The sequence below is a fragment of the Homo sapiens genome, chromosome 14 (assembly GCF_000001405.40).
Source record: "Homo sapiens chromosome 14, GRCh38.p14 Primary Assembly".
Lineage (NCBI taxonomy): Eukaryota > Metazoa > Chordata > Mammalia > Primates > Hominidae > Homo > Homo sapiens.
In genome coordinates this window covers 69,773,831-69,798,956 of record NC_000014.9, presented here as the reverse complement: position 1 = coordinate 69,798,956, position 25,126 = coordinate 69,773,831, and the positions used below count along the sequence as shown (strand labels likewise).

Here is a 25,126-nt window from a genome sequence, read left to right as displayed (position 1 = left end):
CATCTGTGGTCTTGTACAGACCATCAGGTCCCTGAGAACAGGAACATGAATTATATAGTTTTTTTTATTTATTTATTTTTATTTTTTTTGCCTCCCATGGTGCCTGGTACTCAGTTAGTGATCAATAATTCTCCCCTAGCAACTCTGTTCCCTTCTGATTAGCCCCAGGGAGAGGAAGCAGCCTCCTCTGAGACTCAACCCTACCCTGTGGGAACGCTCAGTCCAGGCATCACATCCAGTGCCCAGTCCTCTGCCTGCCCTCCCTTTGATACCAGCCCAACTCAAGCACCAGGAAATCATTAGCAGAGACTCTCAAAGGAAAAGAGGCTTCAAGTTCATGTCACCCAGGGCCACAGTATACGGCCCCGCAGGCTGCCCACCGCGCAAGCCCAGGGAGCAGCCTTTTCATGGATATGATGCAATATGTATGGATCCTGCCATCCAACCCTTATCCAAGCAGGATTCCAGAGGCCTCAAGGCCATTCTTGGAGAGCTCTCATTTTCAGGTGGTTCCTTGCACCAAGCCAAAATCTGTCCCCACCTCCACCCAACAGTGGTTCACACCCTGGTCCCTATTCTGCCCTCTGGAGTCCTACATACAAAGCCTAATCACCTGTTTCAGACCCCACCCAGGCCTCCTAGGTTCCAACCAAGCCAAGAAGCAATTGTGTTTCTGAAGGAGACCCCTCCTCCCTTGTCCCACCTCTGCAGTGGGGATAGATGGAAAGAGCAAGGCCTAGGATAACCTCACACACTAGGTGGCCCCGCCCCTGGCATGCCCACCTCTCTCTGCTTCTGCTCCACGCCCCAAGCCTGGCTCCCAGCCTGAAACACACAGGCCCAGTGCAAAAGTAAAGCAATCAGGAAGTCAGGAAGAAAAGACTGCATTCCTGCTTCCTTCTCAGCAAGTTTTGCAAGCAATGGGCCTCCTCGGGCACAAAGCAATCTCCACAGCCAGGGTTCTCTCAGGTTGCTTTTCGGGGAAAGAGCCTCCAAGCTTCCTGAGAGCCCACCCACCATCCCAGCTGGTTATTCCCTCTGATGGTAAGCATTCCAGGTAGTGTGGAGCAGCCACCACCAGTATTCCTCCCTGGGACTCATACAGTCCCAGTTTGGGGATAAAACAAACATTTCCCCAGAACAGGCAGGGAGGATACTGGCATCCTCTCAGCTCCCAGGAAAAGGGTCATGGACACATCCCCTCCTGGAGGCCAGTGACATTGCCTGTCCCACACCCCCTTGGACTATGCTACCTGTATCTAGGAACCAAAGGCAACACCCAGCTCCTTTCACTCTCATGGGTTCTGGGGACAAATGATAACCCACTGGACATGGGGAGGGCACCTTCCCCCAACCAAGAAACTAAGGAATCAAGAGCGGAGCTGGGAAAAGGAGCTGCAGGGAAGGAGATGGGCTGGACCTAGATTCAGGTGGGCCCTGGGCAGGTCCCCAGTAACTGAATGAATGCCCATGAGGCACACTCAGTGGAGGGCAAAGGGGAGAAATAAGCCCAGAAGCAGCAAAGTGACAAGGGAGGAGTACAAGTAGCACCCAGGAATCCAGCAGAGGTCAGGGAGCTTGGGAGAGCTAGGGCAGGCAGATAAGGTTCTGGGCTGTTCCTCTTTGGGGCGACAGCCAGAGAAATAGCTCAGATAGTTGCATAACCCTTCTATTTGCCCAGAGCTTTTGTCCAGAAACTCTCTGTCCTGAGAGGTGATTAAAGAAGGCATCCAGCAAGAACTGCACAAGAAACGGAGTCAGCCGGAGAACAAGGAGTGGTCTTCCACTGCCTCACAGGAGGATGGAGGCCCACAACGCGTCTGCCCCATTCAACTTCACCCTGCCACCCAACTTTGGCAAGCGCCCCACAGACCTGGCACTGAGCGTCATCCTGGTGTTCATGTTGTTCTTCATCATGCTCTCGCTGGGCTGCACCATGGAGTTCAGCAAGATCAAGGCTCACTTATGGAAGCCTAAAGGGCTGGCCATCGCCCTGGTGGCACAGTATGGCATCATGCCCCTCACGGCCTTTGTGCTGGGCAAGGTCTTCCGGCTGAAGAACATTGAGGCACTGGCCATCTTGGTCTGTGGCTGCTCACCTGGAGGGAACCTGTCCAATGTCTTCAGTCTGGCCATGAAGGGGGACATGAACCTCAGGTAGGCCTGGGGGTGAGGAGGGAACAGCCTGGGACAGGAGCTACATTAGATATGTCACAATTGAGGGGAAGAGCTGGGCTAAAGCCAGGAAAAGGAGTGAATGCAGGCTGGGTGGAGGCTAGGGCAGGGGAAGTCTGGCATTTATTGCCAAGAGCTTATGCTGGGATGGGGGCAGGAGTTGGGGTACGTCTGGTTTAGGCACCAAGCCAAAGGGACCATACTGGTCCAGGAAGCTCGTGGTGATCTCCTTGCTTCCAGAGGTGTCTCAAGGATTGTCTTAAAGGAGCACTGATTAAAGCCAAAGGAACCTCTGGAGAACTGCATCCACCTACAACAGTGGACAAGTTGCCTGCTTTGAGCCCAGAGATTTAAAAGGTAGTGTGATTCGTTCCAAACATCATCAGGGAGATCAAGGTGACTTGGAACCAAATGAGCACCTCAAATTCCTGCAAAGCGGGCAAGAATTTCCAAAAGGTCCTCCCAATTACCTGGTCATCTAAGATGTTTTCTCTTTAAAGTCCCTCATTCCCCATCAGATGCAATGACATTTCCATGCAAAGGCACAACCAGGGAGATCCTAGAGTTTCCCAGCACCCACTCCAGATAGGCCAGCCCCATCTCAGCCACCCTGATAAGGGGAAGACAGCAGCACCCCCTAACCCCCTGCCCAAAGCATTATAAGCAGAAATCAGCAAGGGCTCGCTCCTGGAGACGCAGCACACAGGGGCTGGTTGATGCTCATCCTTCCAAACTGGGGAGACTCTAGTCTTGAACATCTGCCAGAGGAGCTACTTCAGACCTGCTCCAGCTCCAGCAGCCTGTGCTGAAGCTAAAGAAAACTCACTAGCAGAAGCTCTTGCTTTCAGTGAAACCTCAGTCTCAAGCCAGTCCCCCCTGGTTTAGTCCTCCGTGGAGACGCTATTCAATGCCAGGTATAGCAGCAGAACCCAGAAAGTCCATCTGCTTGTGTCTGTCAGCACCCTACTCCTAGCCAAACTTTCCTAGGAAAACTAACCCAGTCAAGAAGCCCCTCCTAGTGATGCAAAATGACACTGGGACAGATTTTTTAAATGAAAAAAGTGAGAATGGCTGGGCACGGTGGCTCACACCTATAATCCCAGCACTTTGGGAGGCCAAGGCAGGAAGATCACTTGAGACCAGGAGTTTAAGACCAACCTGGGCAACATAGCAAAACCCTGTGTCTACAAATATATACATATATATTTAATTAGCCAGGCATAGTGGCACATGCCTGTAGTCCCAGCTACTTGGGAGGCTGAGATGAGAGGATCTTTGAGCCTACGAGTTCAAGGCTACAGTGAGTCATGATCACACCACTGCACTCCAGCCTGGGCAACAGAGTGAGACCCTGTCTCTCTCTCAAAAAAAAAAAAAAAAAGGAAATAAAAAAGTGAGAGTGAATGAGAGTTGGGGTTTAACAGGATCTGCCATCTGAGAAGCTCTGGGCTCTTTTTCCATATGATTCAGCCCTCACTTTAGTAGTCAATGGGAAGAGAGGCACAAAGAGGGCATTTGGCTTGTGCCATCACCCACGGAAAGGTATTTCAATGTTCAACTACCTCACTGTGAGAAAATGCTTTCCTCTGTCTAATCCACATCCTCTCTGCTACAAAGCAAGCCCTTGGTCTTGGATCTGGCTTCTGGACAAGGCTCATGGCAGCCTGTGTGTCCCAAGAATCCTAGAGTATATCTGAATTTTGGTGTATGAGGGATGCAGAAGTCAGGGGCCTGCGAAGGGGTACTCTGAGGGCTTTGTGTTTCTGTGGAAGAAGCAGAGCAGGGGACGTGGAAGGCAACTGTGCTTTTAAGTGTGAGTGGCCAGATGTCCCAGCCCCATCGCCAGTGGCCACTATTGAGGCCTCTGCCACAATGCCTACATTGCTGTGGCTCTAGGCCCCACCCAGGCAGAGCCTCTGGTGACTCAAGAACATGACCCCTCATGCTCTCCTGCTCAACCTCCTTGTCCAGACCCCTGATGACTGTCATTTTTACCTAGACCCCCACAAGAGATAAGCTCTGCTGGGACAGCCACCTTCTGCCATAAAACTCCTTCCCAACAAACAACCCTCCCATGCACATTAAACCATGTCTCAGATCCCACTGTCGGAATGGGAATCTGGTCATCTACCTTCATGTGCTGCCAGACTTCAAATCCCATTCCAATTTGGGACAACTTGTTACATGCATTATAATAATGACAACGATTATAAGAAACAGCCAGGCACAGTGCTAAACACCTTACCTGGATAAGTATATGTGATCCTCCTACAGCACCCTGGGGGACAGCATGTAACAAGTAGCATTTAGAGGTAAGGAAACTGAATCTTAGAGAGGTCAATACATTGGCTCCAGGTCTGGGTGGCTCCGGAACCTGTGCTTTTACTGAAATATCTTCCAGGTCAGCATTTCCACAAACAAAATGGCCAGACAGCCTCAAAGGCATGGGCAGACACCCGTGTCTCAGCAGCAAGTATTGTGTGGGAGCCAGAGCTTCCCACTTTTCAAAAGAAGGTAAAATATCCATTTTATGTGAAATCAGCAACTCATTCCATTTTTTTAAATGTGCAAACCAAACAATACATGTCAAAGGGCCAGCTGTAGCCCAAAGGCCCCAGTTTGAGATAAGCACAATACTCTACATCCCATTTAGAACTGGAAGGAATTGTAAGACACAGATCCCATTTTACACATGAAGAGGCTGAGGTCAGAGACTTGCCAGAGGTTTCCCAGAGTTTGTGGGAAACTGTGTCTCCCTCCACTCACTCTGCCTCATAGGTGGAGTCAGTCTGGGGACAGCCTGCCATCCCAGGAGGCCAGGCCACCAAGCAGACCCCTCAATGCAGCCAGGGACGGCAGCTCCCTCCTCAAGGAAGGCCACTAGACAAGTTTCAAAAAATGTAGGTGACAAACAGGCAAGAGAAAACGCCCTCACAGTTGAAGTGAGTATGGCTTGTCAGGCACAGAGAAGAGAGTGCTATGCCAGCAGGAACTGGCCTCTTTTGACCATCCTTGCTGCCCCAAGTTCATCTGCTCCCCCTGCCACCATCGGACTCACAGCAGAGCCCAGAGCCAATGGCCATGGGGACAATGGGCTTGGACACAACCCAAGCACTTCCACAGGTCTCCCAGCCATGATGTAGGAAGCTCAACCAGGACAAGATGGAAGCCACTGGGGTCCCAGAAGTTTTCCACTTCATAGAGACTGTGTTGAGGCCCCTCACAGCTCCCTCAGCTTCTGCCTCCAATCTGTGCATTGACGGACACTCGAACGAGTCCCTTAAATGGGGTACACAGATGTCCAAAAGCAAGGTCTATGCTGTGCTCTTGGAACTTAAGCAGGAGGGAAAAATAAAAAAAACAAATGTGCCCCTTTCCCCCTGAAAGGCAACCAGGCCTACAATCTCAGGAATCTAGAGTCTGAAAAAGTCCTTGCCCGTCCCTGTCCCTTGGGGTAAACCAAGGATCACAACAGTCACGGATGCCAGCAGGCTAGGAGATGGATGTCCCTGACCTGACCCCAGGACCTGTGCAAGTGGAGGAAGTACCTGGGGATCAGGGAACATGGCTCCTGCATACCCAAGCTGACAAGGCACACCAAGTCCAAACTCCAAAACTCCTGACACACAAGCCAAAGTAAGCATGATTCCTCTGCTCTAGGTCACCAGAACAAACACACAAGTTGTGTTTGGCTTTTCCCTAAGAGAAGATCAACAGTAGCATTGAAACCCCCTGTATTCCTATTCCCAATCTCATTACCCTCCACCACTTGCCAAAGGGAGCATCCCTGGGAATTTGGTGTTCAGCATTTCCACCGACCCTTTTCAACTATTATATACGTATATATTCATAAACAAGATAGACTGCGGGATTTACGTCTTTTAATTTTGTACGAACAGTATTATACTGTCCACATCACCTAACAGCTTGCTTTTTTTTTTTTTTTTTGAGAAATAGGCATGTAAAGAAAATAGCTACCTCATGTATCTGAACTGCTGTGCAGTTTGCTTGCATTTATCCATTCTCCTGTTGTCAGATTCATGTGGATTTTACGTCTCGCTTCTGTGAACAGACTTGTGTGTGTCCCTCTGCCCACATGAGGGCATATGCAATTGAAGCAGGACTGCTGGGTCGTGGGAGTCACACATCTTTAAGAGGTCTCCAAGGTCATTGTTCACTTCACACGTTCCCTAGCAGTGTCTGAAGATCCCTGTTTCTCTGTGCCTTCATCTATATTTGGAATTGTCAGACTTTTTAATTTTTTCCAAATGAAAACAGTGAAGCAGATCGCAGTAGTTTTAAATTTGATTTCATGGGAGGCCTACCACATTTCCACGTGTGCGTTGGCCATTCATGTGTCCTCTTCTGGAAACATTGGGTCCTTTGCCTGTTTTTCTATGGGATTGTGGTTTGGGTGGGTTTTGAAAATTAATTTCTAAAGTTATTGTTTTATATATGTTGCAACAGTCTATTCACAGTTTGGAGCTGGTCTTTACACTTTGATAATAATGTCTGATAGATTGCTTATGTTAATTTAGTCAAATTTGCCAATATTTTTCCTTTGTGGTTTATGTTTTTTAGGGGTTTCTTTAAGAAATCTTTTACTATCTACAAGCCTGTCCAACATGGCAAAACCCCGTCTCTACTAAAAAATACAAAAAAATTAGCTGGGCATGGTGATGTGCACCTGTAATCCCAGCTACTCAGGAGGCTGAGGCATGAGAATCACTTGAACCCAGGAGGCAGAGGTTGCAGTGAGCCAAAATCATGCCACTGCACTCCAGCCTGGGCGACAGAGCAACACCCTGTCTCAAAAAAAAAAAAAAAATTTACTGTCTACAAAGTTACAAAGATATTACCCTGTATTTTCTTTGAAAAGTTTTAAATGTTTGATTTTCACATGGAGAGCTCCAATCAATGTAGAACTTATTTTTATGTATGGCATGAACTAATTTTATCTTTTCCATACAAATAGAAGATTCCAAGCCACGTTGAGTGAATTTTTCTCCAGGTATTTGTAATGACATCTCTCTCATAAATGCAGGGCTTGTGTCTGGATCTCTCTTCTCTTCTACGGGTCTATGTGGCTACCCTTGTACCAGTTCCACACTTTCTTAATTACAATTTTATAAGTTTTGTTATCTGAAAGTTAAGTCCCCCTACTTTGTTCTTGAAAATCATGGGCCGGGCACAGTGGCTCACGCCTGTAATCCCAGCACTTTGGGAGGTCAAGGCTGGCCGATCACGAGGTCAGGAGATCGAAACCATCCTGGCTAACACGGTGAAACCCCGTCTCTCCTAAAAATACAAAAAATTAGCTGGGCGTGGTGGCGGGCGCCTGTAGTCCCAGCTACTTGAGAGGCTGAGGCAGGAGAATGGCGTGAACCCGGGAGGCAGAGCTTGCAGTGAGCCAAGATCACACCACTGCACTCCAACCTGGGTGACAGAGCGAGACTCTGTCTCAAAAAAAAAAAAAATCATGTTAGCTATTCTTAGCCTTTTACTCTTTCACTTGAGTTTCAGTATCACCTTTCAAGTCTACAAAAAAAATTATAAGTCTGGAAGTTTTATTAAATGTGCATTACATTTATATATAAATTGAGAGACTATCTTTATAATATTGAATCTTCCCATCTATAAATATGATATAGCTTTTCTTTTACTTAGGCCTTTTTTAATACCTTTCTATAAAGGTTTGTAATTTCTTTCATAAAGATCTTACATGTCCTTTAGATGTATAAGTATTTTCTAGTTTTGTGAATATCATAAATGGTGTCTTTTAAAATATATATATATTTGTTTCTAGTATATCAGACCCAATTGATTGACTGACTGATGCTAATGTATTTAGAACCTCATACATTTTCTTACTTACCAGTTATAATGGAAAATTACTTAGATTTCTTCTGTGGACAATCCTATCATTGGCAAAACAAGAAAGTTTCATTTCTTCTTTTCCCATCCCTATACTTTTTCTATTTCTTGTTTTGCTGTGCTTACTAGGGCCTATATATAGTATAATTTATAAAACAGGTAATAATAATGACTATCTTTGCTTTATTCCTCTTGTTAAAGAAAATCCCTCTATTTACCATTAAGTTTAACGTTTAATATACTTTTTCTAATAGATTTCCTTTCAAGTTAAGGAATTTTCATTCCGTTGCTAGTGTACTAAATTTTTATTATGTAAGAACATTAAATTTTGTTGACTTTTCTATAGCTACAAAATTGTACCATTTCTTTAATAATATAGTAATATGTATTAATAGATTATCTAATGTTAAATCATTCTTACTCATCTTGTTCATTGTATTTTTTAAAACACTTATTTGCTAATATTTTATTATTTTTGTTTCTATGTTCATAAATAAGAGTGGTCCCCAATTTTCTTTTCTCGTAATATCATTCTCCAGCTTTCGTTCCAAGATCATATTAACTTTATACAATAAATTAGGGCATGTTTCCCCTTTTTATATTATCTGGACAGATTTGCATAATATTGCAACAATCTGCACTTTGCATGTTTAGTAGAACACTACCGTAAGACAGTATAAATCATGTAGGGTTCTAGAAGATAGGTTTTGAACTGCTTATTAAATGTCTTAAATGATTCTAAGTTGAATCAGGTTTTCGGCTTCATATTGACTTGGTTTTGTAGGTTATATTTCCCATGAAATTGTCCATTTAAGTTAAAAATGAAAGTATGAAAATGTCCTTAATGACTTTTTAAAATCTTCATTTTCTCTGTAGTTATGTTCCCTTTTTCACACTAACCTCATCAATTTGTGCCATCTCTCTTTTCCCTGGTCTGCCTTGCCAGAGGTGCCTATTTAATTGGCCTTTAAAAAAAAAAAGAAAAAAAAAAAACCCTATTTTTGGTTTTACTGATTCTAACAATTTACAAAACTTAAAAAATTTCTTCCTTTTCTTTTTATTGGGTTTTTCTCATTCTAACCTCTTAAGGTGCTTAACTCATTAATTTTTAATCTTCTTTTTCAATATAAATATGTTAGGCTATAAATTGCCCTTTAATAATTGCTTTATTTGCTCCCTGCATGGTTTTTAATTACTATTTATTGAGATATAATTCACATACCATAAAATCCATTCTTTAAATTGTACGATGCCTTGGTTTTTAGCATAATTCCAAGCCTGTGAACCTATCACCATTATCTAATTTCAGAACATTTTCAATACCCCAAAAAGGAACTCCATCCCATTTAGCAGGAGTCCCCATTTCTCTCTCCTGCTCCAACCCTTGACAACCACTAATCTTTCTGTCTCTATGGATTTCACATAAATGGAAGCATTCAATATGTGACCTTTTGTATCTATACTTCTTTCACTTAGCATATTTTCAAGGTTCATTCATGTGATAGCATGTCACAATACTTCATTTGTTTTTGTAATTGAATAATATCCCATTGTATGGATATAATACATTTTGCTCATCCATTCATTCAGCTGATGGACACATGGGTTGTTTCTACTTGTTCCCTAGTATGAATAATGTCTATGGAAGCTCACAGGCAAGTTTTTGTGTGAACATGCTTTCTGTTCCCTTGGGATATATACCTAAGAGTAGAATTGCTGGGTTATATGGTGACTCTGTGTTTAAATTTTCTAGAAACTGCCAAACTATTTTCCAAAGCACCATTTTACTTCCCACCACCAGTGTATGAGGATTCCTAATTTTCCATATACCCTCCAACACTTGTTATTGTCCAGCTTTTTAATTATAGCCATGCTAGTAGATATAAAGTGGTATCTCAAAGTGGTTTTGATTTGCATTTTCCTAATAAGTAATGATGTTGAGCATCTTTTCATGTGCTCATTAGCCATTTGTATATCTTCTTTGGGAAAATATCTCATTCAAATCCTTGGCCCATTTTTTACTTGTTTTTTATTATTGCATTATAAGAGTTCTTCATATATTGGCCGGGCGCGGTGGCTCACGCCTGTAATCCCAGCACTTTGGGAGGCCCAGGCGGGTGGATCACGAGGTCAGGAGATCGAGACTATCCTGGCTAACACGGTGAAACCCCATCTCTACTAAAAATACAAAAAAAATTAGCCGGGCGTGGTGGCAGGCGCCTGTAGTCCCAGCTACTCGGGAGGCTGAGACAGAAGAATAGCGTGAACCCAGGAGGCGGAGCTTGCAGTGAGCCGAGACTGCGCCACTGCACTCCAGCCTGGGCGACAGAGCAAGACTCCATCTCAAAAAAAAAAAAAAAGAGTTCTTCATATATATTCTGAATATTAGACCCTTATCAGATATATGACTTGCAAATATTTCCTCCCATTCTCTTGTTGGCTTTTCACTTTCTTGATGGTGTCCTTTGAATCACAAGTTTTTAATATTAATGAAGTCTGACTTGCCTTTTTCTTTGGCTGTTCGTGCTTTAGATGTCTAAGAAACCATTGCCTAATCCAAAGTCCCCTCTCCATGTTTTTTAAATATGTATTTTATTATTTTTATATTCTAAATACTGTTTCCACCATGATTTCATATTTGATGATATAATTAGAAAGTTCCCCTCCCCTCATCCCATGATCCTTTTATTGGTTGCTCAGTTTCAATGCTCCTCCCATCCCAGGTCTAATACCTCAATTCTGGTCCCTTCCTTGGGCATTAAAGCCTCCACAGTGCCAAGACTAACACCCCACTCCCCTCCAGAACCCCTCTATGAAGCTTCAGCTTGAGTTCCCCCACTACTTTGCATTTGTTTCTTGTCCGTGGGCACCTTTTTTTTTAGTGGAGTGGCGCTAACATAGCTCACTGTAACCTCAACCTTCTGGGCTCAAGCCATCCTCCTGCCTCAGCCTCCCAAGTAGCTGGGACTCCTGGTGCACACCACCACACCTGGCTAATTTTTGTGTGTGGTTTTTGGTTTGTTTGTTCATTTGTTTGTGTGTAGAGACAGGGGTCTTACTTTGTTGCCCAGGCTGGTCTCAAACTCCTGGCTTCAAGCAATCCTCCCTCCTCGGCCTCCCTAAATGCTGGAATTATAGGCATGAGCCACTATGCCACACTTAAATTGAGTGTTAATTTCTTACAAGCTCAAGTGTGTATTTAAGTGTTCACGGGGGTGGGGGAGTTCCTATTACCTAGTTCACAATTTTCTTTGAGGGACTCTTCTCACCTCTAACAGCTCTTATCCTTATGACATGCCTACCTATTGTTCTTGATGGCTACGCTCTGGAACCTTTGATATAGGCTGCTCTTCATGCATATTTAAGCCATATTCCATCTTTATAGAAATAATGAAAGAAGTGTAGATGGAGGGTAGGGCTGTGGGGAGGAGGAGGGACACACTGAGTGTGGTTTTCCTAAGATCTTGCCAAGCCCTCACCTCCCAACCATCTTCCCACTGGAATAAAAGTCAGAGCCATATATTGTTAATGTAAATGTCCATAAATCTAAGGAGATGCCCTATCAGCTTCCTTCTCAGTTGACCTTTCTGGAGGGCCTCTCCCTAGACAGGGTCCTGGGACTAACATATATAAGATTCCAAATGGAAAAGGAAATTGGACAAGTAGGATACATATTAGAGCTGGAAGGACATATTATTCAGGCTCTGAGTGTCATAATTTATTTTAAATAATATCAAGAGGAACCAGAAAGTAAAGAACATGAGAACACCAGAGTTGGGGACTGGAATACTATCCAAGATGCAAAGCAAATCTGACCAGGTTATCTTGTCACTTACTCAACATGGGTATCTATTACTGCCTTCTCTACTACCCCACCATTATGGCCCTTCAATTATTCTGTTTCTTACTGCTTCACTATTTCTTTTACAGTCCTTTTAATCATGGTATCTGTTTATTGATTTTTCTAGTAGGGTTTTTGACTTCTGCCTGAGCATCACTCCCATGCCACCCATCCCCAAAGACCAAGTGTCCTGTCACTGTGTCTCACACTCAGACTCCCCACGAGGTAAAATGTGCTGATATAGCTAATTGTTATTGTCTCCGTTGGACAAAGTCACTACAAGAAGCCATTCCCTAGGCTCTAAACCAGACATTTAGTAACTGTGGGTCAGGTGCCATTCCATGGTCCAATGGGCTAATGACCAGAGTAATGGAATCACACAGTTGGCTTTCTACAAAATGGGCTTGGCATGGGGGAGGTGCTCAATGCGAAAAGGGTTCCATTACAGAGAAGGAGATCAGAATGGCTCCTTCCACAATGAAGCACACAGGGATTGAAGCAGTTGAACCACCCTAAGTTCAAATGCTGCCTTGGCCACTTACTACCTTGTGCGACTTTGAGCAGGACACAACTCTTCTAGTCCCCAGCTTCCTTGTCAGCGAAAAGAAGATAGTATGCTTACTGCCTAATGTTATGGGGAAAAGGAACTGAAGCCACATATGTCAAGCACTTAGCACAGTGGCACTTAGCAGGCACTCAACAAAATAGTCTGTATTTATGGGCTCTCTCTCTCTCCCCTCTTCCCATGTCTCCCACCAGCATTGTGATGACCACCTGCTCCACCTTCTGTGCCCTTGGCATGATGCCTCTCCTCCTGTACATCTACTCCAGGGGGATCTATGATGGGGACCTGAAGGACAAGGTGCCCTATAAAGGCATCGTGATATCACTGGTCCTGGTTCTCATTCCTTGCACCATAGGGATCGTCCTCAAATCCAAACGGCCACAATACATGCGCTATGTCATCAAGGTAAGAACCTGGGAGGCTTGACAAATTAGGGCAAAAGAGTAAAAACACCATATACAACTATAAGATATAATCATTATATTAATAATAAACATACATATGCTCCTACTAGATGCTAAGTTTTATGCTATGCACTCTAAGGATTCACTGTCACCAGAGTTTGATATTTGCAGAAAGTGAAGTAACACATGAGGCTGGCGTGGTGGCTCACGCTTATAATCCCAACACTTTGGGAAGTTGAGGCGGGTGGATCACTTGAGGTCAGAAGTTTGAGACCAGCCTGACCAACATGACGAAACCCCGTCTCCATTAAAAATACAAAAAAAAAAAAAAAATTAGCCGGGCATGGTAGCGAGTGCCTGCAATCCCAGCTACTCAGGAGGCTGAGGCAGCAGAATCGCTTGAACCAGGGAGGGCAGGGGTTGCAGTGAGCCGAGATCGCGCCACTGCACTCCCGCCTGGGCCACAGAGCAAGACTCCATCTCTAAAACGAAAAAAAAAAAAAAAAGAAAAGAAAGAAAATGAAGTAACACACGAGAGAAACAAGATCCAATTCCAGTGTACACGCAAGTATTTGCAGAAGGCAAGGAGATGGGAACAGTGAGGGCTGGAGTGGTCAAAGAGCCTTATTAAAAAGGAAGGGCTTGAGGCATTTAGGTAAACCTGGGGAGAAGCCTGAATAGAGTTCAGCAGGCACTAAGGGCAAATTTGGCTGATGTGGCAAGAAGCTAGAGGAGACAGGTAGTGTACCCATTCCCAGCATTTCAAGAGAGGGATGGGGTGGGAAGTGGAGTGAATTAAGGCCACAAAGGTTTTGAGAAGCACTGTGGTCACAGACAGGGCATCATGCCACTGCTTTGTGTGCAGAACTCCTAGAGTGCAGCTATGGTCTCTCCACCAATATTTTCAACCTTGGAGTTTGGTCCCTGCCAGCCTCCCCCTTGGCTCACTATTCATCCCCCAGGGCCAGGAGGTCATCCTGGTCCTCAGGAAGGACTTGACCTCCTGACCTCCTGTACCATCTCTGCCCCTGGATCAATGCCTCTGGCCTGGTCTGCAAGGCGTGCTGCTGAGAACCCCAAAGTTTGGCAGCAGCTTTGGGCCTGGAACAAAGAAGTCAAGAGTCCAGTTTTCAGGGGGGTTTTATTTTCACACTACCATTGTCTCAAGAGTAGTTTTTGCCCTTGTCCTGTCCCAGTGCCATGGCCACAGCTCCCCTTCCCGCCTGCTGGAGGACATGGAGGAATCATCCCTCCTCCTTTCTGTGGCCAGTCACCCCACCTCAGCCCTGGATTGCAATCATTCTCTCTACCCTTGTACTCAAGAGACCTCCTTTTATTGATTATGCCCCTGGCCCAGCAGCCTCCCCTCTCTCTCATTTCTAAAATATCTCTGTATTGGTTCTTCACAATCAGCTTTGATACGAACTCACATATCTTCTATCTTCAAAAAACAAAACAAAAAGTGTCTCTCACTGGGATTTTTTGTGGAATCCACCTCCCATTCCACCTAATATCTCCCTTTGCTCTCCTTCCTAGCCAGGTTTTAGGAGTAGTCCCCCTCACTCCTCTCTCTCTCTGTCAATCGCTTCCTCTCAAACACCTTCCATTTCCCCCATGCCACCGCCAGAGCTCTCTCATGAGTGACCAGGCCCTCAGCAATTCGTTTCCATTATTTGAATCCCTCTCTTCTCTCCTTGGTCTCCCATCCACCCAGCATCTTGATGACCACCTGCTCCACTTTCTTTGCCAAATCCAATGGACATTTCTCAATCCTTCCTTGACCTTCTAGCAGCATTGGACATAATTGACCACTGCCTCCTCAAAAGCCTTCTCTGTCAGCTTTAGTGACTCTAAGCTCTGCTGCTTTCCTCCTACCTCTCATGACCTTCAGACTCCCTTATGAGTTCCTCTGGTCAAAGGCACTTCTCTGCATTCAGACCAAGCTTTCTGCCTTTCTCACCAGACCTCTCCCAGCACAGGATCTGGTCCCTCTCAGGTCTGCAATTACCATCTGCAAACCGAGACTTCCAGAACAGCATCATCAGATGTCAACTCTATCCTCACTCCAGAATCCATTTATTATCTACCAGGTCTTTCTATCTGAATATACCTCAGACATTTAAAACTCAATATATGTTAAAGTCATCTCCTCCCCATGTGGTTATCTCAGTCGGTGGCACTGTGTGTGTGCCCAGTTGCCCCAACCAGAAACTGGAAGTCATTCTCAATGTTCCCTTCTCCCTCACCACTCACACCCATCTAATCAATGACTGTCGATTCCACCTTCTGTTGCTGGAATCCATTCATTCCTCTCTATCCTTACCTCTCACTAGACAACTCAAATGGCCTTCTCATCCAACCTCCTCACCCAGTTCTAACCTGAGGGTGAAGATGTGAAGTACAAACTCTATCATGTCACTCCACTGCTTAAAGCCTCTCATTGACTCCTTCCCCCTAGGATAGTTTAAACTCCTTAATGTGGCACTTCTTGATTTGGTTTCAACTGACCTCACCAGTCTCAGCTCTTTTCTCTTTGCACGTGCCCTTCTCTTCACCTGGAACACTCTTCTTCCCAATTCTCACCCCACTCACCATCTTTCACTGGATCACTCCCACTCATCCTTTAAGTCTCAACACAAATAGCGCCTCCCCCAGGAAGCCTTCCTTAACCTCCTAAGCCTGAGTAAGATGCTTGTCCTATTCACTCCCATAACACCCAACACTCCAGCTAACCCCTGTAGCAATTATTACACTGCATTAAGAACATCTGTTCATTTTTATTCCCCACTCATTTATCAAGAAGCAAGACCATAAGGCTGTCTTAATTAACACTGAATCCACAGCACCTATCACAGTGCCCCCATAGCTAATGCCTGAGAATAAATAAAGGAATGAAGGGCAAGTCCTGTCTGCTGCTCTTCCACACACCAGCAGAAAAACAACATACACAGAGAAACATGTTTGTGTGCATCATTTCATTTTTTTAAGATAGTTTGTGGGGTGCATAAGATTGCTTTTTTAAAAAATCCTATACACCCATAAACGATCTTAAAGAAATGCATATAAAATATAAAGAATATTAAAATGTGAAGTGACCACTGCTATCATTTAATGCTACTCTGCCCTCCTCCATTTTATAGGTGGGAAAACTGGGAAACAGAATACCAAGTCATAGTGCTAATGACAACTGATGTGAGAACATGTCTCTTTTCTACCTCAGAGTAGCTTTAAAAGTGTTTCTCTGAGGTTGCAAAAAGCAGAATCTCAGACCCTTTTTTTTTTTTTTTTTCGAGACGGAGTCTCACTCTGTCGCCCAGGTTGGAGTGCAGTGGCGCGAGCTCGGCTCACTGCAAGCTCCACCTCCCGAGTTCACACCATTCTCCTGCCTCAGCCTCCTGAGTAGCTGGGACTACAGGCGCCCGCCACCATACCCGGATAATTTTTTGTATTTTTTAGTAAAGACGGGGTTTCACCGTGTTAGCCAGGATGGTCCCGATCTCCCGACCTTGTGATCTCCCCGCCTTGGCCTCCCGAAGTGCTGGGATTACAGGCGTGAGCCACCACACCTTGCCGAGAATCTCAGATCTTAAAGCTGGAGAAGCCTTTAAGATGAAGTTCAGTCTCCTGCCTTATTCCCAATTTGCAGATAGAGTAACCGAGGCCCGGAAAAGTTACTTGGCAGAGCCAGGATTATTTCAACCAGTCTGTTCCTGTTGTGTTGCACATTCACTACTCAATGCCACAGACGAAATGAAGTCAAAATGAAGCCAGAGAACATTAAAAGGGCTAAGAAATACCTTGGCTGGAAAAACAGAGACTAGTAATAAGGGACTACATAAAAGGTAATCTAAAAAACCCAGGCATGCCCTGGACCCATTTTGCCCCTGGCTAAACCTCCAGGGTTAAACCACCACAAAGTCAACAGCTACACTGATCTTCCTATATTCCAAAACTGGAATCACTCCTGTGAGGATGCAGAGACTAACATGTGGGTCAAGCTGCAAAAGCTAAGGTTTCCTTGCTTCTATGGCTCTTCGAGGACTATGCTCATCCTTCGTCACCCTGTCCCATAAATAATATAGTGAGTGCCAAACTGGAAAACGAACAAATGATTGTCCTAGCCTCTTACGCACACATAACCCTCCTTGGACCTTGCAAATCAAAATAACCCAACTTTCAATAACTAGCTCTGGCAGCAGGTATCTGCTCACACCGGGTTCAACCAGTTGCATTCGCTGGTGGAAGGTCACATTTAGATATACCAAGATACAATTTCAGGCATGCTCATTTTAAAAGGCAATTCAAGTAATTTTTAACTTACCCATGCAAGGGTTTATCCAAAGGCTATGTGGCTAAAAGGGTGATGAATCTGAGAATGACATGGTCCAGGAGCCACTTTCACCATAAGCCATCCACCACTCTTTAATAAGGATCCCACCATTTCATTGACTCAACACTCTACTCATGCATTTCCCACACCTGCTGCTACTGCTGAACTGACCCCTAACTCTCCTTTGTCTTACAACTTCTGCCAACTTGTGGCTATTGCTCCCAGACCTCTGTTCTGACACTTGTCCCTGCTATTGCTTCCCTCTCTGTAATCCTGCAAACTTCCTAAATGAGAGAATCTGATTATTTCTACCACTCACCAGCCTGTGCGGGCCACCTTTGTGGGTAGACTGTGGACATGTCATCTCATGTGTAAGCCAATGGATTGGCTGCCCATGAATGAGCACTCATCCCAGTTGTGAGCAGGGCAATGAAGTCAGGTGGTACAAAATGTGGTAGCCTATGGAGAAGCAACTACCCGGGGCCACTTGTCTCAGCAGGAGACAGGGGTTGTAGACAGGATAAATTTCCAGAGATGGCAGCAGTGAGAGTGACAGGAACCTCTAGAATGTTAATTCCTCCCCTTTGAGTAATAACAGGAGTTACAGTTTAGTGAGCGGTTCTTATATGCCAGGTCCTATGCCGTCAACCTCACTCAGGTTGAGTGACTCCCCAGAGCTTACACACCTGGAGACTAGCAGAGGCAGCTTTCCCACCAGGATCATATCAAATTATGTGCTCATAACCACAACTGTGCAGTCCCCAAGAGTCAGAGAACATGAGTGAGAGAATAAGAGTGAATGCCTATACAGAAGAAGAGGGCTTCTGGATTCGTGGACAATTCCTGTAACTCAATGTCTCCTACATTATCCACTCCACTCTTGATAGAGATTAAAAATTATTTGACTGTTGGGTAAAGGACAAATTCGAAAGACAGAAATCTAAAAGGGGAAATCAACTAAAAATGCAAAGGTAAACTGAGAAGTTCATTAGCTAATAAGTCTTTTAATAAAACTTGAAGCACATGGTTATTCAAGAGATGTGTGAAAGTCCTTCCTATGCTGGGATAGGACCACTAATTGGTATAGGTGATGTTTTATATGATCATATCAGTTGCAACAAGTATTAAAAACAGAAACACAAAGCTGTGCAGCTGAAATTTGAGCAATATAAATGTTAAAATGTCGTTAGGACATTATGAATGTACTTAATGCCACTGAACTGTACACTCAAAAGTGATTAAAATGGCAAACTTTGCTATACATATTTTACTTTTTTAAAATGTTACTAGGAAATATAAAATGCAACACATGTGAATGAACCAAAAAATGAACCAACACATGTAACTATTACAAAATAACATGGTAAGTTTGAGAAAAGTTAAGTATTTCTTTACTCAGGAGATAAAAGGGACAGTCTTAAATTTACACATACCTGTTTATCATTTTGGAGGACGCAATTCTCTAAAATGCACACTGGAAAGTACAAAGTGCATGGAGTGCACATGCACTTTGAAAGGTTGCATCCTATGTTGCACAATGAAAAACCCTATAATTTCATTCAGAGTAGACCTGCATAGTTTCCAATGATGTTGTTATCACCCAAGATATTTCTGAAAGTTCTTTTGGGAACTTCCTTCATATTCAATTTGCAGGTCACTCAAGAAAGTAGGTTTGTCCCCTTATTATTAGACATCATTTTGGGTTTAAAACCGTATTTCCGGGCTTGATCATCCACCTTGTTTACCAGCTTTGTTTCAAATGACTCTTGGCAATTTCCAGAATTGATCCTAAAATGGATAAAATCCCTATCTGTAATCAAGGTATTTGAGACAAATATGTATGACAAGTTCTCATGAGTTTCAAAGTATGTGGAACAATGACAGTATTGTAGGAATGTGTATATAAGTTCCAAAAATACTTGACTTTTAAATAATATCCATTTTGCAGGAGTCCTGAATAGCCTCACGTAACACTTCACTGAAAGTCTGCTATCCAGAGATGTGTCAAAAGCAGTAACTGTGCTTGGCTGAGTTTGTAATAATCAAAGTGTTAATCAGCTGTCCCCAAGCTTCCTAGCTACTGATACGAAATCTAAAAAGATGGGCTGGGTGCAGTGGCTCACACCTGTAATCCCAGCACTTTGGAAGGCCAAGGCAGGAGGACCGCTAAGAGTCCAGGAGTAAGACCAGCCTGGGCAACATAGTAAGACCCTGTCTCTAATGTTAATAATTTTAAAAAAATTTAAAGAAAGGAATCCAAAAAGAAGATAAAGGTCTTTCATATTCCTTTCCACTTCCAGTGTTTTATTGCAATGTTTCCCACCTCCAATTTCTACCTGTGCTTCCCCACCTCTGTTCCTCTCTATCCCCAACTCTTCTAATTGCCTTTTCTTGTCTTCATTCCCAGGGAGGGATGATCATCATTCTCTTGTGCAGTGTGGCCGTCACAGTTCTCTCTGCCATCAATGTGGGGAAGAGCATCATGTTTGCCATGACACCACTCTTGATTGCCACCTCCTCCCTGATGCCTTTTATTGGCTTTCTGCTGGGTTATGTTCTCTCTGCTCTCTTCTGCCTCAATGGACGGTAGGTATTTTTTTTTTTTTTAAGAAAGGGTCTCACTCTGTTGCCCAGGCTGGAGGGGAGTAGCACATTCTCAGCTCACTGCAGCCTCAACCTCCAGGGTTTAACTGATCCTCCTGCCTCAGCCCCCCAAGTAACTGGGACTATAGGCACAAGCCACCATGACCAGCTGATTTAACTTTTCTGGAGACAGGGTTTTACCATGTTGCCCAGGCTAGTTTTGAACTAATGAGCTCAAGTGATCCACCTGCCTCAGCCTTCCAAAGTGCTAGGATTACAGGTGTGAGCCACTGCATGCCTGGAGATAGGTATTATTTTAGGTCCCACTGTCCCATGGGCTTCATTCTTGTCCTAGTCTTTCAGGAAACGAATAAGAAGCTAGGAACCTGAAATCTGGGCAAGACACTTTCCTGGCAATATGTTCAGATGCACTAACTGGACAAGAGACTTTAGACTTGAAAAAAATTGAATGAAGGTATTGAACGGGTTAAAAATCCAGACACCAAAGGTATCCAAACACCAGCAGCAATAGCAAAGTACCCCTGTCCAGGGTCTAGATTCCATCTGCTGCGAAACTCTTTGGTAGCAGCACTGGGACAAAGTTGCTCCCTCCAGTTCCCTCTGAGTGTATGTGGGGTTTTCTTCACCGGCACAGGTGCAGACGCACTGTCAGCATGGAGACTGGATGCCAAAATGTCCAACTCTGTTCCACCATCCTCAATGTGGCCTTTCCACCTGAAGTCATTGGACCACTTTTCTTCTTTCCCCTCCTCTACATGATTTTCCAGCTTGGAGAAGGGCTTCTCCTCATTGCCATATTTTGGTGCTATGAGAAATTCAAGACTCCCAAGGGTGAGTACTGAAATTATCCCCACTTCAAGTTCTGCTCCAATATTAGACCTGAGCCTGCCAACAAGCAAGTTTCTAGCAGGGACTTTTTGGATAGGGCTTTAACTCTTATCAAGTCACTAAGAACCAGGTAGCCCCAAGAAGCACCCAAGAAGCATTAAAGATCCAAGACTACTTCCATCAACTGCACTCCATTTCTTCCTTCTAGCTGGGAGAATGAAATTGCAGATGCAGTTTACCTCATAAAACTGAAGCAATTTGGGCTGCTTTGTCTCAGTGGGGAGACATCATAGGACAAAACTGCCTTGGACAACTGAGGTTATTAGTTGTGTGAAAGGCCTCTATTCGCAAGAGTTGGGGAAGTTTCCATTTCTCAGGACTAGGTTCTCATTTCCTGGAACCAGATCAGAGCCACAGCACCACTGGCACCTCCGTATGAGGAAAAACATATGAAAGCAATGCACCCTAATATAACCCAGAATAAAGAAAAAAAAAAAAGATTCCTCAACTCTAGTTACGCAGTAAAGGAAACTTAAGCATACGGTTGTTAAACAGTAACTACCTCCACAATAAACTTAATATGATTTATACTTTACTCTGATCACTATGGGGTTAACATAGCATCTCTTCTCTAAAATGCTCAGAGTATTACCTTTCAAAATAAAATTGAACCTCAAGACAGACCAGAGAACAGAGTGCCTTCCTCAAAGTGCACTTTAACACCAATTTTAAAAAAAAAAAAAAAAAAAAAAAAAAACAGGACATTCAAACCCACTTTATAACACATTTCATTATAACTCTCAACATTAGTATATTCTTCCTAAGTACCTACCCAAATCCTTCAACTGTCCCTTCATGTCCATGAATTGAAGTCCCCTTCAAAACCTTTCTAGACCCTAGGGACTGTGATTTACACCCTAGGAGAAATACACAACTTTCCCTATTGGAATTTGTTACATTATACTAGCAAGCAAATGCCGATTCTCTCTCCCTTTGCAATTAGCTAAGATGTAATTAGGTTGCCAAGCAGCCAACACGAAACAAGTACAGGCTGACCATACACTAGAACCATTTTAGAAGCTTTGGTTCAAAGCTACAGTAGAGTTGTGAGAAAGAATCTACTCTGATGCTTATCTGAGAGGAACGCAAGAGATTTGCTGCCCTCTTACAAAAAGTGCACAGAAGTTTCTAGACCAACCAAATTCCCAGATTTGAGGTTTTAGTACCAGAAAGACCTGAAGTGACCTCAAAGGACAATACTCTATGGATCTTTAGCTCTCAAGACTTGAAAAGAACTTTCCTCACAGTGTATCTCAGAAGACCCCAGTGGAAACACTAAATCAAAGCAACGTATTTCTTTGGACCTAATGGCCCCAAGAAGCTATTCTCAGGGGGGAGGAATCTGTCAAGTTTTTATACTTTTCATTCCTGCACCTGATGGGAGAACAACTCTGTATAGAGAACTCTCCCATCTGTATAGAAAGGTGCAGGAATCAAAGCTATCTTCAAATTTGCATCACCGCCTACACCACGGACAAGAAGAGGTAGATCAATTGGGGGTTGGAGGGAAGAACTGGAAACTCTCTTGGTTAGACTTTCTCGAAGATCTTTCCTGCCTGCCTCCTCATTCCCTGAATGCAACACAGACCTTGCATACATAAACTCATCTCCTGTTGTTTTACTGTATAACGAAGTTAGAAGTGAAGTGATGATGAAGACACAATAGTCTAATTCATTAGGACTTTTACTACTAGTACTACCATTAGGGAGACTGAGGGGAAAGTGAGTTTAAAGAGTAAACCATGGGAGAGACGACAGAGATGGAAAATATATACTTAGCACACTCTAGGGCTGAGTTGGTATTTTTGTACTTTCCAGATTAAACAAGCTTCATTGTTCACTCCTCTTGTTCTCTCTCTACACCTGTAACCCTTTTTAACTTTACAGATAAAACAAAAATGATCTACACAGCTGCCACAACTGAAGAAACAATTCCAGGAGCTCTGGGAAATGGCACCTACAAAGGGGAGGACTGCTCCCCTTGCACAGCCTAGCCCTTCCCCTGGTGGCCTGGATTCTGGTCCCAAAGCAATTCTGAAAGCCAGTGTGGTAAACTAGAGAGAGCAGCAAAAACACCAGTCTTGCCTGAGTCTTTCTCCAGCATTTCCAGTACATCTATCAGAATCATCAAGTCTTGGCCGGGAACACAGACAGGGTGTCTACCCAAGAAGCCTCACCTATCCCCAACTTAGAATTTGCTACTTATTTTAAAGACTTGTTCAGTGACTGTAAACTCTATGAAACCAGAAACCGAATCTGCCTCTTGCTGGGATCTCTAAAAGTGTCTGATAAGCATCTTAAAGTCACTCAATTCCTGAACTAATCAATATATATGTTTAACCCATTACTCAAATACCCAAATCCCATTCCAAGTTTTGTGACCCAAAAGAGAAATAAATGCTCACAAGTGCTGTAGAATTAAACTTCAGAAGTTCTAACCTAAAAAGTTCAGATCCTATTCCTTCCCTTTTGACATTATTGGGATGATGCTCCCGAAAAGTCAAATTTGACATCAAGTATGCAAAAGTGAACACAGTAAGATGCAATCAGGCAAAACAAACTCAAAAAATAGCTAATGAAATGAAAAAACTGGGCGAATGCATCATGTTAGTAGAGGAGGAAAACTTTTGACAAGGAAAAACCAGGAAACAAACACATACATTAACACAATGTTACCTCACTAATAATCTCTTTTTTAAGTTCAGTAGGTATTTGGTTTTAACACAAGGCGCCCCCAAAACTGGGTACAGCAAACTACTGCCAAAATGAGTCGTTTCCCAATTCAAAGAAAAATGTTCAAATACCTAGAATTCACAAATTTCAAATTGTCTCTAATAAAATTTAAACATTTTGCATATCATATGTAAATAAGGATCAAGTAAATGATTAACAACTAATATTAACAATTACAAAAAGTCAATCATGCTTATTAGTTACTTGGGATTTTTATCATTTTGTATGGTCAGGTACAAATGAAACCAAGACAATATAGTTTTCGGGTATCAGTTTGGCAAATGTGCAGGACTAACAAGTACTCCCAACACCAAAACGAGAAACACAGATTTGGGTTACTAACATCCTCTTAAAAACGCAGATTTTTGACAAGGCTACCACCTATCATTTTTACTTATTATATCCATATATACCTACCTGTTCAAATTGTTTTCTCTATTATCTAACCAACATCATCTGCTAGGAGACTTGGTTACATACAAGTTATGTAAGAACACATTTGTTTAGCTTTTGAGGAAGACAGGGTTGGCCTCAAACCATTCTTAGAAAGGAATAAAGATGGCCGGATGCAGTAGTTCACACCTGTAATCCCAGCACTTTGGGAGGCCGAGTCGGGCAGATCATGAGGTCAAGTGATTGAGACCATCCTGGCCAAAATGGTGAAACCCCATCTCTACTAAAAATACAAAAATTAGCCAGGCATGGTGGCACACACCTGTAGTCCCAGCTACTCGGGAGGCTGAGGCAGGAGAATCACTTGAACCCCAGAAGCAGAGGTTGCAGTGAGCCGAGATAGCACCACCGCGCTCCATCCAACCTAGCAACAGAGCAAGACCCTGTCTAAAAAAAAAAAAAAAAAGCAAGGAATAAAGATGAAACTAATATAAACATAGAAAACAAAGGTTAAACCATGCCCTACAAAGGCAGGTCCTAAACCTTTCCTTAGGATTACATCCACACTCCTCATGGTATCTGAAGCCTGGTTTTGAGAGTCCCTTTTTGAGACATAATTGTTATCTCCCTGCCATTTTTTTCAAAAGAAGGAATTTATCGTACTCCCTAACACCTCTAAGATTAAAAGTAGCTTAATTCTTGGCTGGGCACAGTGGCTCACACCTGTAATCCCAACACTTTGGGAGGCCAAGGCAGGCAGATAGATTATTTGGAGTCAGGAGTTCAAGACCAGCTTGGCCAACATGGTCAAACCTCATCTCTAATAAAAATACAAAAATCAGCCAGACATGGTGGTGGGATATTCCAGCTCCTGGGAGGCTAAGACATTAGGATCACTTGAGCCTGGGAAGTGGAGGTTCCAGTGAGTCAAGACACCACCACTGCACTCCAGCCTGGGTGACCAAGCAAGACTCTATCCCAAGAAAAAAAAAGAAGACTGGCAGAGTGGCTCACGCCTGTAAACCAAGCACTTTGAGAGGTTGAGGTGGGTGTATCACTTGAGGTCAGGAGTTCGAGACCAGACTGGCTAACAGGTTAAAACCCCGTCTGTACTAAAAATACAAAAAAAAAAAAAAAATAGCTGGGCATGGGGATGGGCACCTGTAATCCCAGCTACCTGGGAGGCTGAGGCAAGAGAATCGCTTGAACCCAGGAGGCAGAGGCTGCAGTGAGCCAAGATCGCCCAAACTGGGCAACAGCAAGACTCCATCTCAAAAAAAAAAAAAAGTTTGTCTGATTGTCTAGGGGTAGAGGGGAAG

General features: G+C 43.7%; 1 protein-coding gene across 1 annotated transcript, besides 1 other annotated feature; it reads left to right on the top strand.

The window, feature by feature from the left end:
- Window positions 1-1,715: 1,715 nt before the first annotated feature.
- SLC10A1 (solute carrier family 10 member 1) lies at window positions 1,716-23,541 on the top strand. The gene is made up of 5 exons (NM_003049.4): window positions 1,716-2,157; window positions 12,650-12,860; window positions 19,597-19,775; window positions 20,428-20,624; window positions 22,569-23,541. The coding sequence occupies exons 1-5, from the start codon at window positions 1,802-1,804 to the stop codon at window positions 22,673-22,675; spliced, it is 1,050 nt and encodes a 349-aa protein (NP_003040.1). The 5' UTR covers window positions 1,716-1,801; the 3' UTR covers window positions 22,676-23,541.
- Window positions 5,651-5,945: an enhancer, noted in NCBI's record as "tiled region #10266; HepG2 Activating DNase matched - State 5:Enh". NCBI's record gives its function as "activates a minimal TATA promoter and a strong SV40 promoter by Sharpr-MPRA in HepG2 cells {active_cell/tissue: HepG2}" and the evidence as "EXISTENCE:reporter gene assay evidence [ECO:0000049][PMID:27701403]".
- Window positions 23,542-25,126: the final 1,585 nt, after the last annotated feature.